A 26498-nucleotide genomic window follows, 5' to 3' on the forward strand; every position below is an offset into this window, starting at 1 on the left:
CATTATCTGAATAAATGGTAAGTCTTTCATTATTCATTTTGCATGTTCTCATCTTCCTGTACTAAAATATTTCCCCATTATTTTCTGCTTTCTCTGTAACACACACAAAGGCACCAAGCCACACAAAATGCAAAAGAAAACCCTCATTTAAAAAAACAAAACATGAAATCACCTATTTTAATCACGTGCTTCTTAAATGGTGCTTTTCGTGGTTGTTATTTTTTAAGAGGGATATTTTGTTTTTTCAGGAAGAGTAGGGGAGACAATGTGCACAGTAAAATATCCCAATTGATACATTTTTCTGGTCTTGAGAAATTCCTTGTCCTTTTCTATTACAATGGAGAATGTTCATTTCAATGTTCTCCACTTATAAGTTCCGGAGAGCAGCAGTCCTTCTTTGTGCCTTCCACAAAGACCTGCTATAGGCTCCGCACAGAGAAAACACAATAGAGATTCACGGAACATGGTGACAAAGGAAGATAAAGACCAGGAATGGTACTGTTGGAACTGACAACACATTCCCTACTCCTGAGATATTACATTTTATCTATTTCAGACATATAGGTTTCGGTTGGTTATCTACCCAAATTTATAGGGACTTTCAGTAAAAGATTTCCACATACTCCCCCCATAGGACAACGAAGAGTTTATCGACTCTCATTATTGGCTACTTCTCCATTATTTGCAATCTGATCACTATGCTTCAAGTTAAATGGGGCTCCCTGCTGGGCACAGTGGCTCACGCCTGTAATCCTAGCATTTTGGGAAGCCAAGGCAAGAGGACCACCTGACGCCAGGAGTTCAAGACCAGCTTGAACAATGTGGCAAAAACTCATCTCCACAAAAAATTTAAAAATTAGCTGGGCATGGTGGTGCACACACACCTGTAGTCCCAGCTATACAGGAGGCTGAGGCAGAAGATGGCTTAAGCCTGGGAGGTCGAGGAGGCTGCAATGAGCCATGATCATGTCAGTGCCCTCTAACCTGGGCAACAAAGCAAGACCCTCTCTCAATCAATCAATCAATGGGACGCCTCTTTCTCAGTCACCAGAGAGACCACAGAACAGTCAACTGTCAAATCCTACATAATATATCTCCTCATGGACTCCGTTTACTTGTCTCTCTCTACTGCAACGACCACTGTTTCTCTACCACTCCTGATTTCTAATTTCTTAACCATCTTCACTGCCTTATATCATCATGCCCTAGGATACCCTTACTTCTTTCTAGCCACTCAATTTCATGCCAAGATGATCAACTGCCAGTCTTCAACTGATATGGAAAAGTCAGGGTTGGGCTACACACAAACACACTGCTGCTCTATGGCCCCATAGAATGAATTTTATTACTTGGAAACTTAGTGATCACTCCCTGACCCAGCTGTATCTCTTTCAGCCTCTCATTAATTTTCTCAAGACCCCTTTTCATCTCTTATCCAGACCACTTTTCTCTTCTCCTGCCAGATGACCTATGACTAAAGGTCATAGAAACCTAGAGTTGTTTGAAATTTTGGGCACTGCGTACGAAAATAATACCAAAATGTCACAGATCCTATAACCCTTCACTGGAAAGTACAGCAAGGTTGTCCATGAATTACATTCTGCTCACCTCTACTGCATGTTGATATTGTGACAGGTATTGCTCAGGCAGATTACTTCCATGTGTGGGCATAGAGTTACCAGCTTCATAATGTTTTAGCCTCTTCTGAATTGAAAAAACAACAGTATTGTATGTCTACTTTCTCAGCTTCTAACAATGCCTGAATGTAAAGGGAGTAAAGGGGTTTGAGGCAAGATGAATATATGATTAGACACGTAAAATATACAAGGCATCTTGTTCTTCCAATGTAGTAACTAGACAATGCTAAGCACTGCATCAAGAGGACAGTTTTGCACGACTCTAGGATCTAAAAATATTGACACTTTTTACATCACTACTCCTCTTGTTATCGACTTTGTGAATAATCTAGAAAAGTTACCCAAGAAGTTCCAGAAAAGCTGCTTCTAATAGAGAGAGACAATGAGAACCCAACTAAGAATTCAAAATAAAAAGAACAGACTGAGCAGACGTTACCAAAACAAATGGAGCAAAACATATTAAAGTCACTGGTGGGTGAAAATTCTTAGCAAGTAAAAGAAGAAAAAGAAAATGAGGCAGTAAATCCATCTTTAGCATTTCTACCTTCCTCATTTTAAATGACAAAACAGAAATACAACTTCTGAGTGATACAGACCTCAACTTTCTGCCTTCACTTTGCCAAACCATGCCTATTTGATTCCTAAGAGTTCAAGGATAACTTTAATTGAGGTGACACTTCTGAGTCACAGGGCATTCGTAAAATGGCTTGAGGATGGCCTTTTGATAAAGAAGTGTCTTTTAGAGGCAATTCCAGCACACTTTTATTTTGTGAATTGCTCATTTTATAGCCCGGGTTTAGAGAGAGAGAAAAATATCTATTAGAGGTGTAAGTATAGCTTATTGTGATGTTTCCATTTGTTTCTAGAGCATTTATGGCTATACATTTATTTGGGATCTAGCCTCCAACATTAAGAGCCTGAGCTGGGAATAAGGCTGTCATCCTGTAGCTTTTAAATGGCCTCCAATGCCACAGAGAAGTACAAAACAGGCTGCTGACTGACTGATCTCTGTGATCTAAATGCTTTAAGTGTAAGAAAAGACACACCACCATGCAGTCAAAGTAAGCTGGATAGCTTCTTTTAAAGTTGCCAGTTTTTACATAGCATTAAACTCATTCCATCCCACTGAAAGCCAGTTGGCTAGAATATCATTTTACAACTAGTGAGAATATCAGAGAGAAAAAGACAGCTACGTACAAAGACATGATAGTTTTAATGGCCAAATTTTTAAAACTGGATTTCAGGAACCAAATGCATCTGCATACTTCAGGATATAAATATTATGAAAACAATTATTAATACAAGTAAAGAACAAAAGAGGGTCACAATTAAATACTTAGACTTTAGTACACTCCACTAAAGGCTACCAACTGAATCATTAAATAAACGATTCAGCAAATAATTTGTAAAAAAAAAAAAAAGGACTTTCATTTTCTACCCCTAAGGAATTCCAGAGTAGAAGGTGAAGAGGAAAAAAAAAATCAATCACAAAACTAGCTTTATCCACTACGTAAGATGAATAAGATACCATCGCTTAGAATTATTAATAACAGTTGCACAAAAGATAAATTCATCTTTTTTCGAGAGAACTGTTTTAAATCTACTCTCCAACAAACCTTTGACTATAGATTCAGGTAAGCGGATGGGGCAACATGAAAAGCCAGTCCTGGTCACCATTAAACCTCTGAAACCAAGTAACTACCTGGGCACTCCACTCATTTTTTTCTTTGGGGCTATGGGAACAGTGGGGCTGTGTTCTTCCTTTAAGCGATTTGTAGTCTCTTCAGATTACATGACTGATCAGCTAGTTAATGGTGATTCTAAGACTATTTCCCAACTCATCATTTCAAGATGAGAATAATAATAATTTCCTTCCCCCTCAGTGACAGGCAACATGAACACCAACTCTAATTGCAATGAGATACCACTTCACACCCATTAGGATGGCTACAAGAAGAAAAAAAAGCAAACAGAAAATAACAAGTGAGGACATGGAGAAATTGGAACTCTCATGCATTGCTGAGACTTCCACCGAGTGAAACAATGCAGCCACTGTAGAAAACAGTAGGGCAGTTCCCCCAAAAATTTAAATCGGAGTTGCCCTATGATCCAGCAATTCTACTTCTGGAGATATATCTAAAAAATTGAAAGCAAGGACTCAAACAAGTATTGGTATGCCAATGTACATTGTAGCATTATTCACAACAGCCAAAAGATAGAAAAAACCCAAATGTCCATCAACAGATGAATAGATAAACAAAATGCATTATATCCATAGAATGAAATAATACTCAGCCTTAAAAACGAAAGAAATTCTGATATGTGCCACAACATGAAGGAACTTTGAAGACATCATGGTAAGTGAAATAAGTCAGTCATAAGAGGACAATAAATATCCCCACGAATCCACATATGTGAAGTACCTAGTCAAATTCATAGAGACAGAAAGTAGAACAGTAGCTGCCGGGGTCAGGGGTAGGAGGCATGGGAGGTTATTGTTTAATGGGTATGGAGTTTCATTTTTGCAAGATGAAAAAGTTCTGGAGATGGATAGTGATGACGGTTGCACAAATATATGAATGTACTTAATATCACTGAACTACACACTTAAAAATGGTTAAGGTGGCTAGGCACAGTGGCTCATGCCTGTAATCCCAGCACTTTGGAAGGCTGAGGTGAGAGAATTCTTTGAGGCTAGGAGTTCAAAACCTGTCTGGGGGCAACATAGTAAGACCCTGTCTCTACAAAAGGAATAAAAAAAGTCAGCTAGGCATGGTGGCTCATGTCTGCACTCCCAGCTACTTGGGAGGCTGAGGCAGGAGGATCACTTGAGCCCAGGAGGTCAAGACTGCAGTGAGCTGTGATCACACCACTGCACTCCAGCCTGGGTGACAGAGTGAGACTCTGTCTCAAAAAACAAAGCAAAGCATAAAATGGCAAAGGCAGTAAAATTTATGATGTTAAATATATTTTACAACAATAAAAAACCAATTCCACATATCTGCAAGAGTGCATATAACTTTTATGGTGATTTCCACCAGGAAGTAAAGTTAAGTGTATAGGATTCAGAAAGTCTTACTTTTGTTCTGTTGGGATTTTTTTTTTTTTTTTTTTTTTTTTTTACCGTATACTTGAATTATTTTCATTAAAAACAAAACTAGCCAGAATTAAGTCGACCTTTAACCTAGAAATTCCTCTTTTAAAAATTCAGCCTAAGGAAATAATCAGGGAAGAAACAACGATGGATTTACAAGAATGTTGTTTGTAATGTTAAAAATGGGGGAGCAACTTAAATAGTTATCCTTGGGAGATTGTTTCAACAAATGGTGCTGCATCTCTACAACGGACAGAGACCCTAGGGATATCATGAGGCTATCTGACAGAAGAAGGGGTCCCATAGTACATTAAGTTTTTAAAAACAGGCAACATTTGATATAACTTCATCATTTAATGAAGAGTGATGTGTGTACTGCATGCATATTCAGGCTCAAAAAAAAGTCTGGAAGAGGCTGGGTGCGGTGGCTCATGCCTGTAATCCCAGCACTTTGGGAGGCCAAGGCGGGTGGATCAACTGAGGTCAGGAGTTCGAGACCAGCCTGGCCAACATGGTGAAATCCCATCCCTACTAAAAATACAAAAATTAGCCAGGTGTGGTGGCGGGCGCCTATAGTCCCAGCTACTCAGGAGGCTGAGGCAGGAGAATCGAGGGAAATCATGAGGCTACCTGATAGAAAAAGGGGTCTCATAGAAAGTTTTTAAAAACAGGCAACATTTGATATGACTTCATTATTTAGTGAAGAGTGATGTGTGTACTGCATGCATATTCAGGCTCAAAAAAAAGTCTGGAAGAGGTCAGGTGTGGTGGCTTATGCCTGTAATCCCAGCACTTTGGGAGGCCAAGGTAGGTGGATCATCTGAGGTCACGAGTTTGAGACCAGCCTGGCCAACATGGTGAAACCCCATCCCTACTAAAAATACAAAAATTAGCCGGGCATGGTGGTGGGCGCCTGTAGTCCCAGCTACTCAGGAGGCTGAGGCAGGAGAATCGCTTGAACCTGGGAGGCAGAGGTTGCAGTGAGCCAAGATTACGTCACTGCACTCCAGCCAGCCTGGGCGACAGGGTGAGACTGTGTCTCAAAAAAAAAAAAAAAAAAAAGTCTGGAAGGATACATATAAAATGTTAACTATGGTTGTTCCTGAATGATAGGATTGAGGGTAATATATATATATATATATATATATATATATATATATATATTTTTTGAGACAGGCTGTCACTCTGTCACCCAGGCTGGAGTGCAGTGACACGATCTCAGCTCACTGCAGCCTCAACCTCCCGGGCTCAGGCGATCCTCCCACCTCAGCCTCCCGAGTAGCTGGGGACTACAGGTGTGCATGCCACCACACCCAGCTAATTTTTGTATTTTTCGTAGAGTTGGGGTTTTGCCATGTTGCCGAGGCTAGTCTCAAACTCCTGACCTCAAGTGATCCAACTGCCTCAGCCTCCCAAAGTGCTGGGATTACAAGCATTAGCCACTGCACTCAGCTGAGGATGATTTCTATTTATTTCTTTGTATTCTTCAACTTTGAATAATAATAATAATAATAATTATTATTATTATTACAAAGAGCTCTTGTAATGAGAGAAGTAACAGAGCTACCTCCATTTTGAGAAACAAACAAGCAAAGGGTTCAGGGAGCACTTACCAGTGCAACAAGTAGCTCAGACATCACAGGACCAAGGCAAAACCTGTCAGGCCCCCCAGGGGCTACCATTCCTCTCCCATCTCCAGGCCCTAGCTGCTGAGACTTTCCCACGTTTTTCACACCTTACAATCAATCATGCTTTCACTCATTTCCCCAAGGAAGAAGATTCACCATCTTTATTTTGCATATAAATACCTCATTCAGATTTCTACTCATCAGAACTCAGAACAAAGACATCCAGCATAAGATCAGCAAACATAAGCTATCTTTCCCTAGGAAAATCCTCTCAAGCCATTGCCGATGAATATATTTTTATCCTAGCCAACCCCTAACGGCACTCTCCTCATATATCTGCCTCTGTCCTCCTTTCTAGGCAAGCAACAGATGCCATTTAAAAACCTTTCAAGAAGTTCCCCTACTCTTAAAATGATATGTTAAAACAATGTGTTTCCTTTTGGCCACGCTATTTTTTTTTTTTTGTAATTTTGAAAATAGTATAAGTTAAAGCCAACAGAAAAAGACATAAAGGGACATATTTTACAGACCTCATCAATTCTCCCCTTAAAATTTTTTTTTCAATGAGAGACAGGGATATGGAAGACATATGACACACTGTAAGCCTTACTTATCCTGTGGTTTATTTAGGGAATTTTGTGTTTGGAAAATGACAGACTTCTGCTTTTAGGTAGACAAATATGAACAACTCACAGAGAAAAACAAGACCACTTATTTCTAGCAAACTTTTATAAAATCAAAATAATTTAGTGTCTTAATTTTTCTCCATACATGAGTACATACCTATAAATGCCCCGCACTACAAAACTAGCCAAATATCTTTACCCCATCATAAAAAAAGCAGTTCAATAGCACCCAGAAGTCACTACTCACAGCTGCTCCACTCACAAAGAAAACTCCAAATGTCGGTGACCCTCAAGAGTGAAACGCCCCACAGCTGGCTTGCTCTGCATGGACATACCCTTCTCTCTAAGCTAACCTGAAAAGCAAGCTGGATTTGTTTACTGCACAAACATCTGTAATTGCTAAACATCTCTGTGACATGGTGTAACAGTTACCGCTTGTGCAAACTGCCCATCTAAATTTCTCTCTGCAATATGAGCACATGAAAACCCAAGACACAGAGAGATTGGAAACATCTGTAAAAATTAATGGCCAAATTGACCAAAGTGGGAGGGATTAAAACGGCTAAATAGCTCCAGAGTGACATTCAGCTTTAGCAAATAATCCGTATACTTGATAGGTTCCTCCTCAGCTTATCCATAGCTCCCCTCTGTGGGATCCTAGCTGGCACACACATTGTTTCAACCCACTAATGCAAACCCATTACCCAGTCTTGCTACAAAATGTTATATACAGATAAGATACAGGTTAACTGGATTTATTACAACTCTAAAAGCAAAAAAAAAAAAAAAGAAATACCTCTTCTCCCATGATGCAGCCAGCCTCCTCTCTTCAGTTTGAAAAGGTCCCAGAACTCCCCTGGAATCCTCCCACTTCCTTCCAACAGCACGGAGCCTGAGGACCCAGCCTAACCCTGAGTCATACTTGGGACCAAATGAGGAATGGGGAGAACAAAGCTCGCATTTGTTTATGGTTCAGGAAGCCAGGGCCAATTCATGGCTTGGGTGGCTTCGAGAGAAGTCCTCCTCCCTCGCCTATGTTGCTGCTGCAATCTGGGCTCCCTCCTGGGGCCCCCAGGTGTGACCATTCGGACAAGGAACACACTGAGGGAGTGTTTATTTGGCAAGACCTAGTGATCACGTCTGTTTAAAAATGCCAGAGAAGAAATAAAAAGCCCACTATCTTTCAACAGATCACATGGCTAGAGAGTGAGGGATATCTAGAATATAGTCTGTATATGACATATCAATCATGAACATGCCTGTATTTTAAATGCAATTAGTTGCACTACACAAAAATTACTCATAAACACACACACACACACACACACACATACACACACACACACACAGAAGAAGGAAAAACAGCCGTGGCTTTATGGAAATACTCCCCCTAGGAAAAATACAGCAACATTGCTGCCATGTCATCAGGAGCATCCTAACAGGTTGAAATGAAATATTTAAATCACAATTTTGTTCTTTCCCCCAAAAGAGATACCATTTTAATCACCACTTCAATGAATCTAGAGCGCAGTGGTTAAGTGTTCAAAACTCTGGAGCCGGAGTGTTTGAGATCAAAATCCCAGTTGAGCTACTTCCTGGCTTTGTGATCCTGAACAACTTATTCAACCTTTGTTCATCTCAGTTTCCTTATCTATAAAATGGGGATAATGGCACCAACCTACAGGGCTGTCTGGAAAATTAAATAATATATGTAAAGTACTTACAAAAGTGCTTGGCACACAGTAAATATCATATTAGCCACAATTACAAGTTCAGGACAATTTCACAAATCAGGATGCCAAGTAAACAGTATCCTTATCTTACCACATTTCTCATATGCTTAGACTTTGATGACCTGTTTCAGTTAACTATGGTTAATATTTAAATTTTTAATTAAACTAATTTAAAAACCATTTGCTTACTATTTATTAACTGCCTGCACTGTATCTAACTCTGTAAGGGGCTTTAAATAAGATGCTGTCCCAGTCCTCAAGAAATTTACAATCTCCTTGGGTAAATAAGACATAAATCTGTTTACTTATCACACACACACACAAATGTAGGTGATGTCACTAGGTAGTAAATGACAAATATAATACAAGTGCTACAGAATTAGCATTTGGAATTCAGAGAACAGATAAAAAAAATTCCCTTATCAAAACCCAACTAGGACGGAGGAGAATAAACAAATCTCCTGTGTAGAAGGATTCCAAATCATTTCTTTAGATACTCCTCCCTCAAGGAGGTAGAATGAAACTCCCCACTCTTTAAGTGGGAGGGGCACAGAGTACCCTTTTTCCAAAGAGTCAAGTATGGAAAGAGGGAAAAAACCAGAACTTTCGAGCGGAGAAACCTGACTAACACCTACGTCAGCCAAGGTGACTAAGGTTAACATCTATAGCGATAAGTATGGAATTAATATGATGTAATGAGAGCACTTCACCTCTGTGGCCTTCCTCCCAAAAACCCACGACTCCAATCTACTCATGAGAATAACTTCAGACAAATGCTTATTTAAGGACATTCTACAAAACTGAAAATTGCCATGGTCATCAAAAATAAAGAAAGTCTGGGAAACTGTTAAAGCCTAACAAGATGAGAAAACTAAATGTGGTATTCTGGATGGGATCCTGCAACAGAAAAAGGACACTGGATAAAAACTGAGGACATCTGAATAAAGCATGGATGTTAGTCAATAATGATAATATGGGCCAGGCATGGTGGCTCACGCCTGTAATCCTAGCACTTTGGGAGGCCAAGGTGTGCGGATTACTTGAGGTCAGGAGTTCAAGACCAGCCTGGCCAACATGGTGAAACCTCGTCTCTACTAAAAATACAAAAATTAGCCAGGCCTGGTGGCAGGTGCCTGTAATCCCAGCTACTCAGGAGGCTGAGGCAGAAGAATTGCTTGAATCGGGTGGGGGTGGGGGGCGGAGGTTGCAGTGAGCCGAGATGGCGCCACTGCACTCCAGCCTGGGCAACAGAGCAAGATTCTGTCTCAAAAAAAAAAAAAAAAAAAAAGATAATATGAAACGTACCACGTTAATGCAAGACGTTAACAAGAGAGGAAGCCGGGTGTGAGGTATGTGGGAACTCTATTATCTTCACAACTTTTCCATAAATCTAAAACTACTCTAAAATTAAAAGTTGATTAAAAAACTAATTAGAAAGATAAACCTGCTGAATGCAAAGGTATATATAAATAAACACATATCTGTGATTTATAGCTATACATGTTTATGCCCATGTGTATATCTATGTAAATCTATTTAACAAGGCCCTCTCAACTTCAAATTTAAAAATTGTCTCTATCTTCTTAGCCTATCTATTAATGAAGATAGTAGAATGCTGACTCCTGGCTTTTTCATTCCCAAAATACACAAAAGAATTTTCTTTGAAAGGAAACTTGGCTCTTTTGTCAGTGTTGCTGCCAACCCAGGCAACGGCGATCCAGCTTAAAGAGTGTGCATGAGGTGGGCCCATCTGCCCCTTTCCAAGAGCTACTAGAAGTTCCTGGTGCCTGGCCAATTAGTCATCGACCATGGAGCCCCGGGGCTGGCAAGTCTCCCAGCTACTTCCTCTCCCATCTCCAGTCCACATTCCTCAGCACCTCCCCAGTTATCTCTCTAAAGTATAAATCTGATCATGCTGCTGCCCAACTGAACTCCTTCACCAACTTGCCCACCCACCCAGAAGAAGGGCAGCTTGTGAGTGGGCTGGCAGAGCCCTGCAGGAAGAGGCACCACCTCCCCTTCAGCTGCCCACTTCCTCCACTACCACCACCACAGCCCCTGCACCCCAGCCCAACCCACCTCTTCCTTCAACATACTCATGCTCACTCCTTGTCCACATGCACACTGCTAGTACCATGAATTCCCAACGTCTTTTAACACCTTGCTCAAATACCACATTCCTTAAAAAGAGACCAAGGATATCCCATCCCTTCCTTCTTGACCTGGAGGAAAGTTAGTAGTTTCTTCCTTTCTATTCTCATTGATGCTTTGGACATGCGTCTGCTAGTCTTTCCCCTTACATTATAATGACTTTTATACATACCCCCTTTCTCTCCAATGTAGGGACAATCCAAAGCATTAAATGAGAAACCTGTATATGACAGCTGATCCAAGGTGTGACTTAGGGTAGGAGGTGTTAACTCCATTCCGATGAACCACACCAGATCTGCTCCACCCCAAATAAATAACCTGTCAGGTTAAAAAAAAACCGCACTTACTATGCAAATACAACATCTAGACATGCCATTTAGCCAATCCCTTTCCAAATGGATTGCCACCCCTTTGTTCATTTACATACAAATCCCAGAGATACCACTGCTAATCCATAAAAGGCATTCAATAAAGCTTCACACTGCTGATCCATAAAAGGCATTCAATAAAGCTTCAGTGAATGAATGAATGAGTGAATTAATGAACAAATGGAAGAGTGAATCTTAGCTAGACCACAAGCAGATCCCAACCAGAATTGGATTAGCACAAAACAGTATCTTCATTCATCCAGTCCACAAATATTTACTGAGGGCCAACTATCATTTGACAACTATTTTCATAAACTGTAAATGGTGACTAACACAGACAAGGTCCCAAATTATGGCACTTACTTTCTAGTGGCTGACATTTAAGACTTGGTGATATGAAACAAACAGCTAACACAGATATAGCAAAATTCAATTGTACTTCTTGCAGTTTGAAATTTGCCATAATAAAAAATTAAAGAGGCCAGGCATGGTGGCTCATGCCTGTAATCCCAGCACTTTGGAAGGCTGAGGGAGGTGGATCACCGGAGGTCAGGAGTTCAAGACCAGCCTGGCCAACATGGTGAAACCCCGTCTCTACTAAAAATACAAAAATCAGCCGGGCGTGGTGGCCCACACCTATAATCCCAGCTACTCGGGAGGCTGAGGCAGAAGAATTGCTTGAACCCGGGAGGCAGAGGTTGCAGTGAGCCAAGATCATGCCACTGCACTCCAGCCTGGGTGACAGAGCAAGACCCTGCCTCAAATAAATAAATAAATAAATAAATAAATAAATAGAAATAACCCTGGAAAATGTACTGTCATTTATAGGTACTCTTTCTACTCTAATAACAATAAGGACAACAATAATAATAACTAACGTTAATCAAGTGATTACTATGTGCCAGGCACTTCTCTAACCATTACATGTTACTTAATCCTCACAACAACCCTCTGGGGTAGATTCTCTTGTTACTCTAATTTTACAGATGAGGAATCAAAAGCACTGAGTGGTTAAGTAACTTGTCCCAGGAAGAGGCAGAGTTGAAGTCTGAACCTGGGCTATCTGTCCTCCATGTTTAATAACCACTATACTTTTTTTTTTTTTTTTCCAGAGTCTCGCTCTGTCGCCCAGGCTGGAGTACAGTGGCGCAATCTCAGCTCATTGCAACCTCCACCTCCCGGGTTCAAGCGATTCTCCTGCCTCAGGCTTCCAAGTAGCTGGGACTACAGGCGCATGCTACCATGCCCAGCTAATTTTTTGAATTTTTAGTAGAGACTGGGTTTCACAGTGTTAGCCAGGATGGTCTCCATTTCCTGAACTCATGATCCACCTGCCTTGGCTGGGATTATAGGCGTGAGCCACCACACCCGGCCAACCACTATACTCTTAACACAATTTGAAAACCTTCTGGGAATATGATTCTTGGTGACAATCTGGCTGCAACTAAATATTTCTTAGAAAATACGCTAGGCTGAGTGTTTTAGAAAGTTCACATCAAACATATATAAAACAGAAAGCAGCACCCAACATGACAAAGAATAATCCTGTAATACTGGTTCACTGTTTCTGTTTCCCTTTCCCTACCAACTCCCCTCCTCCTTCCTTACTTTTTCCAGATCAGGAAACAAAACTGAGACACTCTGAGGAGAGAGAAGCCAAAGTCTGAAAATCCCAAACACTTCATTCAACCCAGGCAACCAGTGGGCATCTTAATACCATCTGCTCATTAAAAACCACAGGTTTTCCAACAACTCAAGAGACACAATCTTATTTTTCAACCAAAACGAGGGACAGCCAATACTCTAGGTCTCAGATAATCACAACAAGGTTTTGACCCTTGTGTTTAATTAGTCAAAGAGTATATATCTCATTAGCTTCTGGAGTTCTCTAGAGCTTATTTCTAGTCTTCAAAGGATTAGGACATAGATCTCTCATTTTTAAGGAACTAAGATCATCACCTTATTGACATGTTTTAATTTTATATGATTATGCAGCTTAATAAATTTTTACTAGAATGGATAAAAAGACTACCTGGGTGGGGGCTGGGTGGGAGGCGGGGATGGTTAATGCGTACATAAAAAATAGAAAGAATGAATAAGACCTACTGTTTGGTAGCACAACAGGATTACTATAGTCAATAATAATTGCACATTTTAAAATAACTTAAAGAGTATAATTTTATTGTTTATAACTCAACGGATAAATGCTTGAGGGGATGGATACCCCATTCTCCATGATGTGCTTATTTCACAGTGCATGCCTGTATCAAAACATCTCATGTGCCACATAAATACACCTATTATGTACCCACAAAAATTAAATACAAAAAAAAAGACTACCTGAGATACGTATGAAAATACTTAAATTCTCTTACTGTAATTTGGCTAATTAAAAACTTGATTAGTCACTCTCATTTATACACAATTTTAATTCTAATTATCTGTCCCAAGTAAAAGCTACAATGTGGATACCATAAAGGCATTAATTTGGGTGACTATAATTCTATAAATGAGATTCAAGATGACAAGAGTTGAAAAAGAGGCTGTTACAAACACAACGCCTTGTAGAAAGTGTAGACAGAATTCAAGAGAGAGATGTCAGAAGTCACTAACGGAAATCAGCTAAGACAGGAAGACCATGGGAAAGAAGCTTCTTGAAAGATTTCTCCGCAGGGAATCCAGTAAACAACCAACCTGGCAAACCATTCAGTTTAGAAATCTTTCCAGTAAGGCAAAAAAGACTACTTTTTCCAATAATTAAGTGGGCCAAGACTGGTAGTGCCTAAAGAGCTAGGACACGGAATGAGCTGGCACCAAAAACCCAGCATTATTCTATATAAAGCCATGTCAGGTTAGGTCCTGAGACTCACTCGAGTATCTGTAACTTACCTATCCATGTGTAATACCTGACACTCCTTTCCCTAAGTGGTTGGTCAGAAGTGATCATCTAAGTGACTCATAAAAAGGGAAGGAGTTTAGAAACAGAGAGTAGGGCCAGACTGGGGTCACAGGAAAATAGCCTGATGAAGAAATTCCCTCTCAGGTCCACAGGTGGGAGACAGAGGTACCACCTGTATTCATGAGAATACAGTCTCGTCTGGGCTTGCCTTCTTGCTCAGAGTCTTCCAGCCCAATCTCTAGGCTGATGACTCTGAAACCTACATTTACAGTTCTCTCCCAATCACCAGACTTATGTATCCATCTGCCTGCTGGATGTCTCTACTTGATACAGTCCCACAAGAACTTCCAAATCCAGCTAGTCTAACCCATGTCCTTCCTCCCCAAATATCTTCTCTCTCCACTGTTTTCTAATCAGAAAATAGTACTCAGCTGCTTAAGCCAGTTGCCGAAGGCACAATCTTCAAGTCCTCCCTCTTCTTTATCCCCCACATACTATCAAACTTGATTCTATCTTCAAAATATTTCCCCAAACCATCCATTTCTCTCCATGACAATAGTTCAAGCTGTTAATACATCCCTTACCTTGATGTCCCCTTCTATGTAAAGAAATTCAAATGGACACTCTCTGGACACAATTAGACACTCCTGCCGTTCTCTTCCCCTTTATGTTTCCTTCCCTGGGAGAGTGAAATTACTTATCTGATAGGTGAATTTAAGAAAAATATACTGGGCGTGCTCAGCTTAGCTCTTCTCTTTCCTCCTCTTGGAAGTCAGCCTTCTCTGCTGTTCCTCAAGGGGCAGGTCTTTCTATCTCACATTGGCCTGAGTTAGTCCAATGTTGCTGAGATTGTGTGGGCAAATCTGTCTAATTCTGGGAATCAGCTGGCAGGCCCATTTGCCTCTCACACTAATCTATACCTTCCAACTTTGCCTTCATCAGTAATGACACTGAAATAAAACGTATGCACAGAGAGATCACAAATCATAAGTGTTCAGCTTGAGAACATTTCACAAAATAAAACATAATCTATACAAATAGAGGGATATACCATGTTCATGAATTAGAAAGGTACCAATTGTCATCAAAAGTGTCTATAGATTCAATGCAATCTCAATCAAAATTCCAGGAGGTTTTTTTTTTTTTTTATGATGATGGGGGATTGACAAACTGATTCTAAAATTTAAATTAAAATGCAAAGGGCCAAGAACAGCTTAGGTAATCTTGAAGAGGAATACATAGGCAGCATAGAATGGGCACAAGGAAAAAAAGACCAACAGAACAGAGTCCAGAAATAGGCCCACTTATATATAGCCACTTAGGTTATGACTAAGGTGATAGGGCTGTGCAGTGTAGAAAGGATAATCTTTTCAATAAACAGTGCTGGGTCAACTGGATATCTATAATGAAAAAAAAATCAGCAAAATATTTTGATTATCCATTCACTCACTCATCTAATTAATTAACTGGTTTAGAACCTAGATTTGGAGTGGGGGGCTATTTATCAGGAAAGCCAGTATGTTTCTGTTACCTCTCTTCTGAATTTTACTCACCCTGTCTTCTGTAATCCACTCCCCACACTGCAGTTGGAATACTTTCGCTAAACCACCTATCTGATCGTGTCACTCTCTTGCTTAAAACACTTTGATAGTTTCCCATTGCTCTCAAGATCAAGTCCAACTCCCTAACGAGTCTCACAAGACTCTTCATGATCTGGGCCCTGCTTCTTTCCCCGCTTCCTGCTGGAGCCTCTACACATCATCTGTGCTATCTCTTTCCCTCTTCAGGGCATTTATAGATATTGCTCTCCCTACCTTAATAACTCTACGCCTACTGGACCCATGGTTTTCAGCCTAAACATCACTTCCTGTAGGAAGCTGGTACACACACACATGAACGGACACACACCTTCCAGCCTCCCTAACAACTTACCACTTCCTGCCATGCCTGAGGGCTCCTACAGCACAACACTGTGTTCTCAGCCTGATTATGGCATTTCCTATACTCTATTATTATTGTTTATTTACTTTTCTGTAGCTCCCTGAGGGCAGTGACCTGGTCTCCCTCACGACTGTATCCTCAGTACTGAGCATATTTAGTGAGCACTCAATACATGCTAGTTGAAATGAGTCATATTTAGAAAGTATTTTCAGGTATATATTTTTTAAGTCCTGTGAGGTAAGATAGGTAAAAAAAAGTATTCCCATTTTACAGATGGCCCAGCTGAGGCCAACTTCATCGAGGTCAATCAGCTAGGATGAAGGTACTATGGCCCTATGATTTTCTAAGGTGTAACCTGGTTCATCTATAGCCATATAGCATTTTCCATTATTTTGATACAGCACATACTTACATCTGAGCTTGGTTTAAATGGTACATGTTTCTCCAAGGTTCTTCCCCACCCCCCTTTAACCTTTTATCAAGGGAAATTTCCAACATACACAAAAATAGAGTGTGATGAACCCCCATGTATACACCATCCAGTTTCAACAAATACCAACTCATGATCAATGTCTCCTCTATGCCCCACTCTTTCATCTTCTGGACTATAGGAAGCAAGTCCCAGACATTAAATCAACTCAGCTGTAAATATTTCAGTTAAATGGTACATTCAGCAAATCATTCGGAGACATATCCACTTGGTGGTATTTAAAAGATTCATAAACGGAATCCTTCCTTATAGCCTGATAAGAGAAACAAGAATACCTACATGAACTATTTATCTATTCACAGTTGGTGGAGGGATGTTATACAATATCTCTCCTGGTGTATAATCTAATCATTAACTCTGGGTAGGGTAATATAGATTAAAATATAAGATAAGCACAAGATTATCTACTGACTCAGACAAGTGGATCTTAATATTTCACAAACTTGGCCAGGTATGGTGGCTCAAACCTGTAATCCCAGCACTTTGGGAGGCCAAGGTGGGCGGATCACTTGAGGTCAGGAGTTCAAGACCAGCCTGGTCAACGTGGTGAAACCCCGTCTCTACTAAAAATACAAAAAAAAATTAAGCTGGGTGTGGTGGTGTGCACCTGTAATCCCAGCTACTTAGGAGACTGAGGCATGAGAATCACTTGAACCTGGGAGGCAGAGGTTGCTGTGAGCCAAGATTGTGCCACTGCACTCCAGCCTAGGCAACAGAGCAAGACTCTTGTTTCAAAAAAAAAAAAAAAAAAAAAACTTCACAAACCTGAACGAAAAGTATAATATGATGCTCACAGCTGTTAATAATGGTCAGATTCCCTTTTTCCCTCATCCAAGTTATCAAGCCAGACATTTCAGAAGGCCAACTGTCGCAGCCTGAGCAGACCTACTTGAGCCTCACCTACTGAATGCTATCACGCAAGATCCAATTTACACTTCTAAAAATGAAAACAGTGAGCTCAATTCTCAAAGGAAGCTTTCTTCCTTAGACATAAATCTTAGACACATAACCATCTCAAAAGTGATGAAAACCAGGTTGTATGCTAATAAAACAGAATCACACTTATCGGCTTTTGTGCCAGGTTGTACAATAACATGATAGATCCATAAATCTATGCAACTATCCATGGCGCCAACAACATGGGGTGGAGATAGTTTCAAATCCTCTTAGATGTTGTAAAAATTGTCCACACCCAGAAAGCAGGCTAGGAAGTTTATGTTTTCCCCAGAGGCTCCACATGAGAAATGGGTTTAGGGAGCTTCCAGCACATGGTTTCATTCTGCAGACAAATCAGGAATCAAGATGCATACACGAATGCGTACACACACACAAATGTCAAATATCCCTATCTGAAATGCTTGGGACCAGAAGTGTTTTGGATTTCAGATTTTTTTTTTTCTTTTTGCATTGTGGAGTATCAGCAGAATGCATCCAGGTTGAGCATCCCTAATCCAAAAATCCGAAATCCAAAATGCTCCGATGAACATTTACTTTGAGAATCATATTGGTGCCCAATAAGTTTCGATTTTGTAGCATTTTGGATTTTGGATTAGGGATGTTCAACGCACTTGCGCACACACATATATGTGTCTGATGAAGTTAACACTTCATGGCACCAATATCAATGCAATAAATGAACTATCTGCTTCACAGAGGTGCAGTGAACTATACAATTGATATATTTTCAACTACACAAGTGCTATATTATCTCACCCAATACTCTCATTCTAGAGATGTCTGTAATCTCTAAAGTGCAGCATTTATATTTTAATATTATTCATTCAACAATATTTATTGAGCACCTACAATGTGCCATGCACTGTTCTAAGCACATAGAATAGATTAGCAAACAAAATAAGTGACATATATAACAAAAATAAATCTGTTAGAAGATGGTATGTGCCACAGAGAACAAAATATTTAGTACCAGGAAGGGGGATGGGGTGAGGTTTCTGCTAAGATAGCAGGGAGGAAAGGGAGGCAGCCAAGTGGGCAGGTAGATGCAGAGTGGCCCAGGCTGAGGAGACCATTGCAGCAAATGCCCCCTGTAGGAGTGTGCATGGCATGTCTGAGGAAGAGCAAGGACCCAGAACGAAGAAAGTGAAGGGAGAGCAGTGGGGGAGGAAGTCCCAGCAGTAACGAGGGTCGGGTCTCACTTTTTTTCTCAGGAAAGCCTTGGTAGGGGTGTGAGCAGATGAGTAGCATGATGTGACTTGGGTTTTCAAAGGTTCTCCCTGGCTTCGCTCTTAAGACTAAACTCCAGGGGGATGGGGAGAGGCAGAAATCCCTATTAAGGAGCAGTGGAAGTGATGAGACCTAGGTGGATGATGGACATATTTAGGAGGCAGAGCTGAGAGAAAGAGCCAGGGACAACCTGAGGGTTTCTGTCCTGAGCGATAGGAGTGGGAGATGGCGCTGCCTTCAACTGAGATGGGGAAAGCTGTGGGTAGAGCAGTTGGAGGAGGACGATGAGTTCAGGTTTAGGCAAACGGATATGAATTTAAGATCTTCAAGTGGAGATACTGAAGTAAGCAGGCAGTTGGACATACAGCTCTGAGGTTCAGGAAAGAAATGTGCTGAGATAAAAACTTTCAAGTATTATATTTGACATTGACATTGCTATCAACAGTAACTCAATTTATTATTGGCAGCTAAAACTAATATTAATAGCAATAATAAGAGTCATACACACACACACACACACACACACACACACACACACACACACACAGTCCTCCTACACAAAGAAGATAAAGGCCAGGAATCATAAAACAAACAAAAGGAATGAACTGTTTGCTGACTGAGTCAATGGTCGTTTTCACTTCAACCACTTGAATAAAAGAAGAAAAACTGCATCCAGTGTTCCTTTCCAAGATGGGGACTTGCTCTTTTGTAAATGTTCACAGGAATCTGAATGTGACCATATGCAACAGAAGTGAGCTCAAGAGCTGGGACACTAGTTTTCAGATCTTGAAAAATATCATATATTGATTGCTGAAAGGAACAATGCTGACTCAAAGAAACTTCAACATTGAAAAAAAAAGTTTAAATGAAACGGTTTTTAATTTCTAGGTATCTGCCCTTTCTGCCTGACTCATCTCTAGAGGGATTCAGTGTTCGAAAAGTTTCCTTTTCAGATTCTGCTTCTAATGCATGATGACACTGGGCAAGGTTGCTGAGGGCGGGTGGAGGGGTGGATGTCCTACAGCTGCAGAAGATGATGCAACCTTTAAAATGTTATCCCACCAAAAAAAAAAAAAAAGAAAGAAAAAAAAACAACAACACTTAAAAGCCACCCATAAACCTGAATTAGAGAGGTTGCCAATACCCCGTCCCCCAAATCTGCTGGCACAAATGTCAAAGCAAAAATTTCAGCACTAAATCGAATTAACAAACATGCCTTAAGCACAGCACGAGAGTAGCTTATTATAATTTGGAAAATTCCACAGTATTTATCAACTCCTAAGCAAGGCTACAATGCTCAGAAGTATACCACAGTAGACGTCATCGGCAGCCACAAGCGCGAGGGCTCTGGGTGTGTTGCTGTGGTAACCGCGTACTCAGCAGCAACATGCTGCCTGCCTCTCACTAGCCCAGAACCAGAGGCAGAAGGAAACAGCCAGCTTCCTGAAGGGAACAACCCAGGGAGTCACAGCACAGGCCATCTCCATCATTCACACCTGCGGGAGACTTCCTTTCAACAGTCTGAAATTATCTCCAACTAACTCTTAGAGAAAAGGTGCACAATTCCTTCACTCTAGTGCAGAACCACAGTCAGCACACCCAAGCACAAAGCACTAGAGAAATGTACAAGGAGCGGAGAGAGATTGGCCAGTGTCTGAAAAGTGTCAGGGTCATGCACTTAGGCGGGTCCAGGAATGAGGGGTTTTTCTGGGAAGCAGATAGAGAAGTACTGGTCCATTTCCAAAGTCATCCTGAGAAGCATTCCCTAGAGAGATCAGCAAGAAAGAAAGCAGCAAACTAGAGCATGAGCCTTTTGAGGGAAGTCGTTCCCACACAGAGGGAGAGCTAAAAAAGAAGACAGGACAAACAACTAGTACATGAGGACATGGAAACCCTAAAAGAGGAATTGGAAGCCTCCAGCACCAAACCCCACAACGTACTTTTGGATATTCCACATTAAGTTGAAATCAAATAGAAACTGTCGAACATACCTTTTCTACCGGCAGAAAGTCATTTTCTACTTCAATTGACCTTGGTCTTAGTTTGATTGGCTTGTCTTTGAAAATGTCTCCAAAGCCCACTCCCTTAACTTTCTTGGGCTGGATTGCTGCAGTTGCCACTGTCCCGTTGGCACCTTCAGACTTGGTGCTGCTTGAGTCACCCCCATCACTCTCGGAGCCTGTGGTTTCCCTTAAACCTGTCAAGAGTGGGGATGGGGAGAGAAAGAGCTCAGAAATCAGCCAGAGCCCTGAAGAAGAACTTCACAACCAGCCAGGAACCACCTCTAAAAGTGTGACTGGGCACAGGATAACTTGCACTAGGCTTTTGTATTCAGTATGTTGAGTAGTTTGACTGGCTCTGAGTTTTGTTTGATCTCCCCACCCCTTACTTTTAATTTTAAGATGTGAATCAAAACAACTTTTCAGAAAATCTAATTCCAAAGCAGATATCTTTGTACATGTGAAATTCACCCCTCTTTAGCCGGGAGCCTGGTTTTGATCCAAATTTGTTTTCCCATAGCCTGTGCAATAGCAACCCTTCCCACCCACCTTGTTGCCTCCCCACCCAGTCAGTACCACATACTGTACCTCCAATCTCTATGACTCATGTCAATTAGCAATTAGCAATGAAAGTAACATTTCCTAAAGGGAAACTGTAAAGCTAAAAGCCATTTAAACAAATGAGCAATTAAAGAAACCACACAAAATTATAACTGCCAAAGAATTCAATCTTTTTGGATGGCTTCACAAGGAATAAATGCATGCAGACATGTTTCTCTAGGAAAGCATTAAACCAAACTTGACATTAAGACGGTTTCACTAGCAAGACGATCATGTTTGTTAAAGAGGGAAAGGAAGCCGTCCTCCCAGAGGCCAGAATCCCCCAAACCTACAGCCCTTCTTCTCTCCTTTAAACACCAGTGTTTTCCCAAAGCTGAATCCCTTTCCAAAGAAGAACACTGGGGACATGACACTCTTCCTTTGATCTTCTGTGGCATGTGTTTGGAAGTCATAAAATAGTTATTAGCAAGACAACATGGACACTTACCTCCCCAGATTCTTTTTTCCCAAGGCTCTGCCCACAATCATGTTCCTAAAAGGAAGAGCCTATTTGTGTCTAGTTAATTTCTGGGTGTATTCTTCCTTTGATGGTCAGTATATCAATTATGCCATCAAAGGGCAGGATTCAAAGAATATTTTATGGAATACTAAACTCTGTCATTAACCTGTCTCTGAAAGCCTCTAGATGTGTAGAATAGCTCCTGAACATTTACTACATAACTCCTGATCATAACCATGCCCTTGAAATGAAAGTACGCCATCAAATGTTGTTCTCTATTAGCCAATTGTGCATTATCTTCCTACAGGTAAGGTGGCCTCCTAGTCCATAAGAATGATACACCAAATACTTGCTCACATAAAATCTCATAAAATGTGGAAGTCATTCAAATAAGGAAGTCTCAGTGCAGGAAGAAACTGTTAAATGAAAACAGACAAAATATAGAAAGGTCATTATAAACTGCTAACACGTTTCAGAATCAAATCCTTAAAACAATGGTTTTGTTTGTTGTTGTTGTCATTTTCCATAAAATGGTATTTTTAAGCCAAAAGGGTGGGGGAGGAGGAAGGTCCCCAGTGTACATTTTAATTAACTGAAAACCAGCATTTGTGAGCAAAAACACAGGACCGAATGGGGAACAGCCCACAACAAGGGGGTCGGCTGCAATTCACAGGAAGGATTAGAGTGTGTAAACATCAAGAACCCTCCCCCATTAGCTATCCATCTATCCATTTGTGTGTTTATCTGTTCATTGTTTTTGCAAATATCCCTGCTGGAGATATAATTTTGGAGTCTAAATATTGTGTCATTTCCCCCTTAACATGTTCTCATTTTGCCGTATGGATTCTTTCTATGTGATAAATGACTTGTATATTCCTTTCTGGCTTGGAAAGAGCCATTCAAGGGTGAAATAAAGAAACCATTAGTGGAAAGAAACCATCACCACTCCCCTCCCTCAGCACGCTCCCCTCATCACCACCAGAAGGCAGCAGGGCAAACAGATTAGGGCAAGTCTATTTTAGTTTTTCAAAGAGAAGAATTTCAAGGGTTCTTCTATCATTCACCATTAGCTAGAACCATAATATTTTCAGCCACTGCCATCCTCATTTCACTGAGCTTCTGGTTTTTGGGATTTACTGTCTTCTGGGCTCATCTTAATATGTTTATACTAATCACCGTGAGAAATACTCTACGTTACACAGAGAGAGGTTGCACAGTCATTCAACCACACAAGCATGGCCCGGGAAGGAAACACACAGCAGATTTTTCTTCCAGAACTTCTGGCAGGCTGGTTCTATCACTTTTAAGTGTATAAATTAAATATCTAACTATCTGTGTTGGTAAAATAATTCAAAATCTAGTTCCTTCCCTTTAGAGGGAAAGAAAGGTGACTTTTCATTTTCATGTTCATTTAGTGATATATCTTTTAGTGACTCGTGCCCATCATGCACATTATCCCATAAAATGTCCCCATGTCAGGCCCAGAATGCCAGGTTACACTCTTGGGTGGTGCAACCCAGAGTGTGGACTGTGGACGGGGGCTGGTTCATGAAGGGCTCATTACAGGTAGGCAGTGGTGAGAGAACTACAGAAAGTGTGGTGTCTGGGGCGATGCTTTAGTGTTTTAACAGTGTGCACTGGTGTAACTTCCAGACATGTGGCTGGTGGTGGAGTCATCTAAATGACCAGGGCACAGAGCAATCTAGGTGCTGTCAAAACTCCCACGGTGAGGCACAGGCGGCACCCTGCATGTGTAGTGAGGTCATGTGCAGTAGGGCCATGCATCTTCCCATGGTGGAGTGGCAAGGAAAAAAAACTTGACCCCAGTTTGTGAAGCATGGCTCTGGTGTTCATGTTTCAACGTTCTCTCTCATCATATCCATACACGTAGGTATGTATGCATATGTGTATATGCACACAAAGGTGGATGCTTTTCCTTCAAGGTGAAAAAAAAGAACAAAGCCTCCTCAGTTTTGTTTCTGAGAGTCCTTTAACTGTCCAATTTTGTGGAATGTACCCAGTCTTCCAGCATTGATCAGTTGAGATCCATGAGATATTTTTATCTATTTTTAATTTAACACTCACATGGATGGAGCTCACTGTGTGGCAAGAACTGTTCTAAGGGCATCTCATTCATCTCCTTCCCCTCAACTTTTGGCAGCCTTATTTCACAACACAAAAGGCTACACATTGGTCCTGCCAAAAAAAGTCTGCCATGTGGTGATTGGCTGAGTGAGCAAAGCAAAATGCCATTTCTGGCATGGACTTTCATGCCAAATTCTTACTTCTTTGAACCACACAATGACAAAATGGTTTATTGGTTTCCAGTGACCCACTCAGAGAAAGCAATAACCATGAGAGGTTGACATCTCTGCAGGAAGCCATCTTACACCACCCCAGAAGCCCAGAGAAACTGGTACAAATACATATGCCACGACAAATGCTACTGCTCCTTTGTTTGCACGTATGGCTCATGCACGCATATCACATACATGATAGAGGCAGAAAGCAAACAAAAGCGCCAGGGGCTGGTGCTGGGAATGCTTCTTAGCACACACCAAGGAGATGGCACTTACTTAGACAAATAAGTCCATGTCCTTGGATCAGAAATTCACACAGACACTTGGCATAAGCATGAGCAGCTCAGGAAAGGGCAGCTGCATCAAAAAACACAAGTACCCAGATCTTATCTTTACAATTGCCTTCTGCTGTTAAGGTCACTCACTGTAATAGCGTCTGTGGCCCTCCGTCTTTCCCGGTGCAGCTCGGTACAGAATTGTCCCTTCAAAGGTAGTCTTTCCTGACAGTGAATGAGAGAAGAGAAGGGGAGAGAAAAACAAGAGAGGGGGGAGGAGGGAGCAAATGATGGCAAAAGAAGGAAGAGGAAGAGTCTTTAACTGAACTTGCCTTCAATGAATCTGCTGCAAGAGCTTCATCCACAAAATTAAGTAGAGACCATTAGGCAGGATTTAAGAATGTTACAGAATGAGCCCAAAGTCCCCATGCAACCAGTATGGCATAAGCACCCAGAAATTGGGGCTTGCCTCTGCAAATGACTGGCATGTACATTATGCCCAGTTTAAACCTGGAAGCCCTTTCAACATTGTAACTTAAAGAATAGGAAAACTTCAATTAACCAGAGGGAATCCAATCAATTGGACTCCTTAATTAACTCAATTGTACAGCACAAGCTTCTCTTTGGAGAATACGACCTATGCATAATACAGATTTAGACACATTATCCTTTATCTTCTACCCCTAGAGACCTACATGATAAAAACGAATATTCATGTCCCCAAGATTCTAAACAAGACACAGAATTCTCTTTAAAAGATCTGTCACCCTCAGTACCTTTAAGCAAGAAAATGTATTAATATACTGGTGAGGGGGGTTTCACCACTGAGGTTTGAAACCAACAGTGGCATCCACATAAACATACGGGGTTTTCTGCTTAGAACCAAGGACACCAGAAAACCCTATTTCTCAAAACATCTTAATTGGGATTCTGCTGTGTCAGTCATGAAACTGTACTTAAGCATGAGGACACAGGACTCACCCAGTGTCAAATGTCAAATTATCTTTTTTTGCTGTTACAGGTAGAGATTGTCAATAGCATAAGGCTGAACACTTGGCTAAAGCCCAAATATCTCTGGAACCATGAGCAACTATACAGAATACACACATACTGCCCTGGTTTGAGTGTACTCCAACCCATCCTCCCACCCTCCCACACCCACCCACACACACACCCACATACACGCACACACACAAATGCCCTACAGAGAGTACCACCGACAGGCAAAATGATTTGCTAAAGGCAAACTCAATTAATAAACATATTACTTTAAATTATCTGAGAAATAAATTTTATTATGGCTTGTTAATTAAATATTCAAACTGGAGGCCAGTCATACAGCTTCCTAATAAGTCTGGAGGATGAAAAAGCTAGGCTACATTTACAGAGAAGCAGGGAGTAGAACTAAGTGAAGGGAGAGAGCAACTTGTCTCACTTCTTAGAAACACTCCATGTTAAAATGGGAAACCCAAGAGAAACCACACTGTCAGCTTCTGGGCCTTGGCACTCCCCATATAGGAAAGGAATTGTGAATCATCAGAAGACCAACAACTTAAATGGGATCAGGTATTTCCAATTTCCGTGTCCTACAGCCATGGTGGTATACCCTCCTTTTGAAATGTGCCCTTTTTGACCGATGCATTCTATCCAATTAAAGCAAAAACTTAGGCATTCAAATCACTGGCTGTGTAAGAATAATCTGAAGACTAACAAAGTTTCAAATGTTCTTGCTAGATTTGAAGCTCTTGAGGACTTTGATGACAAAAGTGCAGCAAGTAATAGTGGCTAGTTTTTATTCGGGCAATTCTGCTTAACTTCAGTCATTAAGTCACCATTACTCCTCAGAACACAGCTGTTTTGTGAGCTAGGCCCTCCAAAAGTTAACAACAGCAGTCCTCTCAAGTGTCAGAAAAAAAGGAAGTGTAAGATTTTTTTTAAAGGCAGTATTTCGATAATGTTCCTTTAAGTACACTAAAACTTCCATGTGTTCTTCCCTAACACCAAGCCTGAGAGTCACTGAGGTAGACCATGGCTCTGATGTCTCTGAATGGTTAAGCCTTCCTGCAAAGTCTCTCTGTGCATTGGCAGCAAGGCAATTTGAGATGTAGTCTG

At 40.9% G+C, this 26498-nt stretch overlaps 1 protein-coding gene across 32 annotated transcripts in view; it reads right to left on the bottom strand.

Annotated features, from left to right (window-relative positions):
- Nucleotides 1-26498, bottom strand: part of SH3KBP1 (SH3 domain containing kinase binding protein 1) — a 353624-nt gene that overhangs the window by 129104 nt on the left and 198022 nt on the right. For 15 of the 32 annotated variants that reach the window (NM_001353892.2, NM_001353891.2, NM_001410757.1 and 12 more), the window contains 2 exons: nt 24537-24611; nt 20743-20948 (listed from right to left, as the gene is read on the bottom strand). In NM_001353892.2, coding sequence (NP_001340821.1) covers nt 20743-20948; nt 24537-24611 — 281 coding nt within the window. Of the gene's footprint in view, nt 1-1608; nt 5175-7232; nt 7331-7781; nt 7920-20742; nt 20949-24536; nt 24612-26498 lie in introns of those variants that run through there. The other 17 variants (NM_001353890.2, NM_031892.3, XM_017029468.3 and 14 more) reach the window with 4 other exon arrangements.

This window comes from Homo sapiens, chromosome X (genome assembly GCF_000001405.40).
Source record: "Homo sapiens chromosome X, GRCh38.p14 Primary Assembly".
In the NCBI taxonomy this organism is placed as follows: domain Eukaryota; kingdom Metazoa; phylum Chordata; class Mammalia; order Primates; family Hominidae; genus Homo; species Homo sapiens.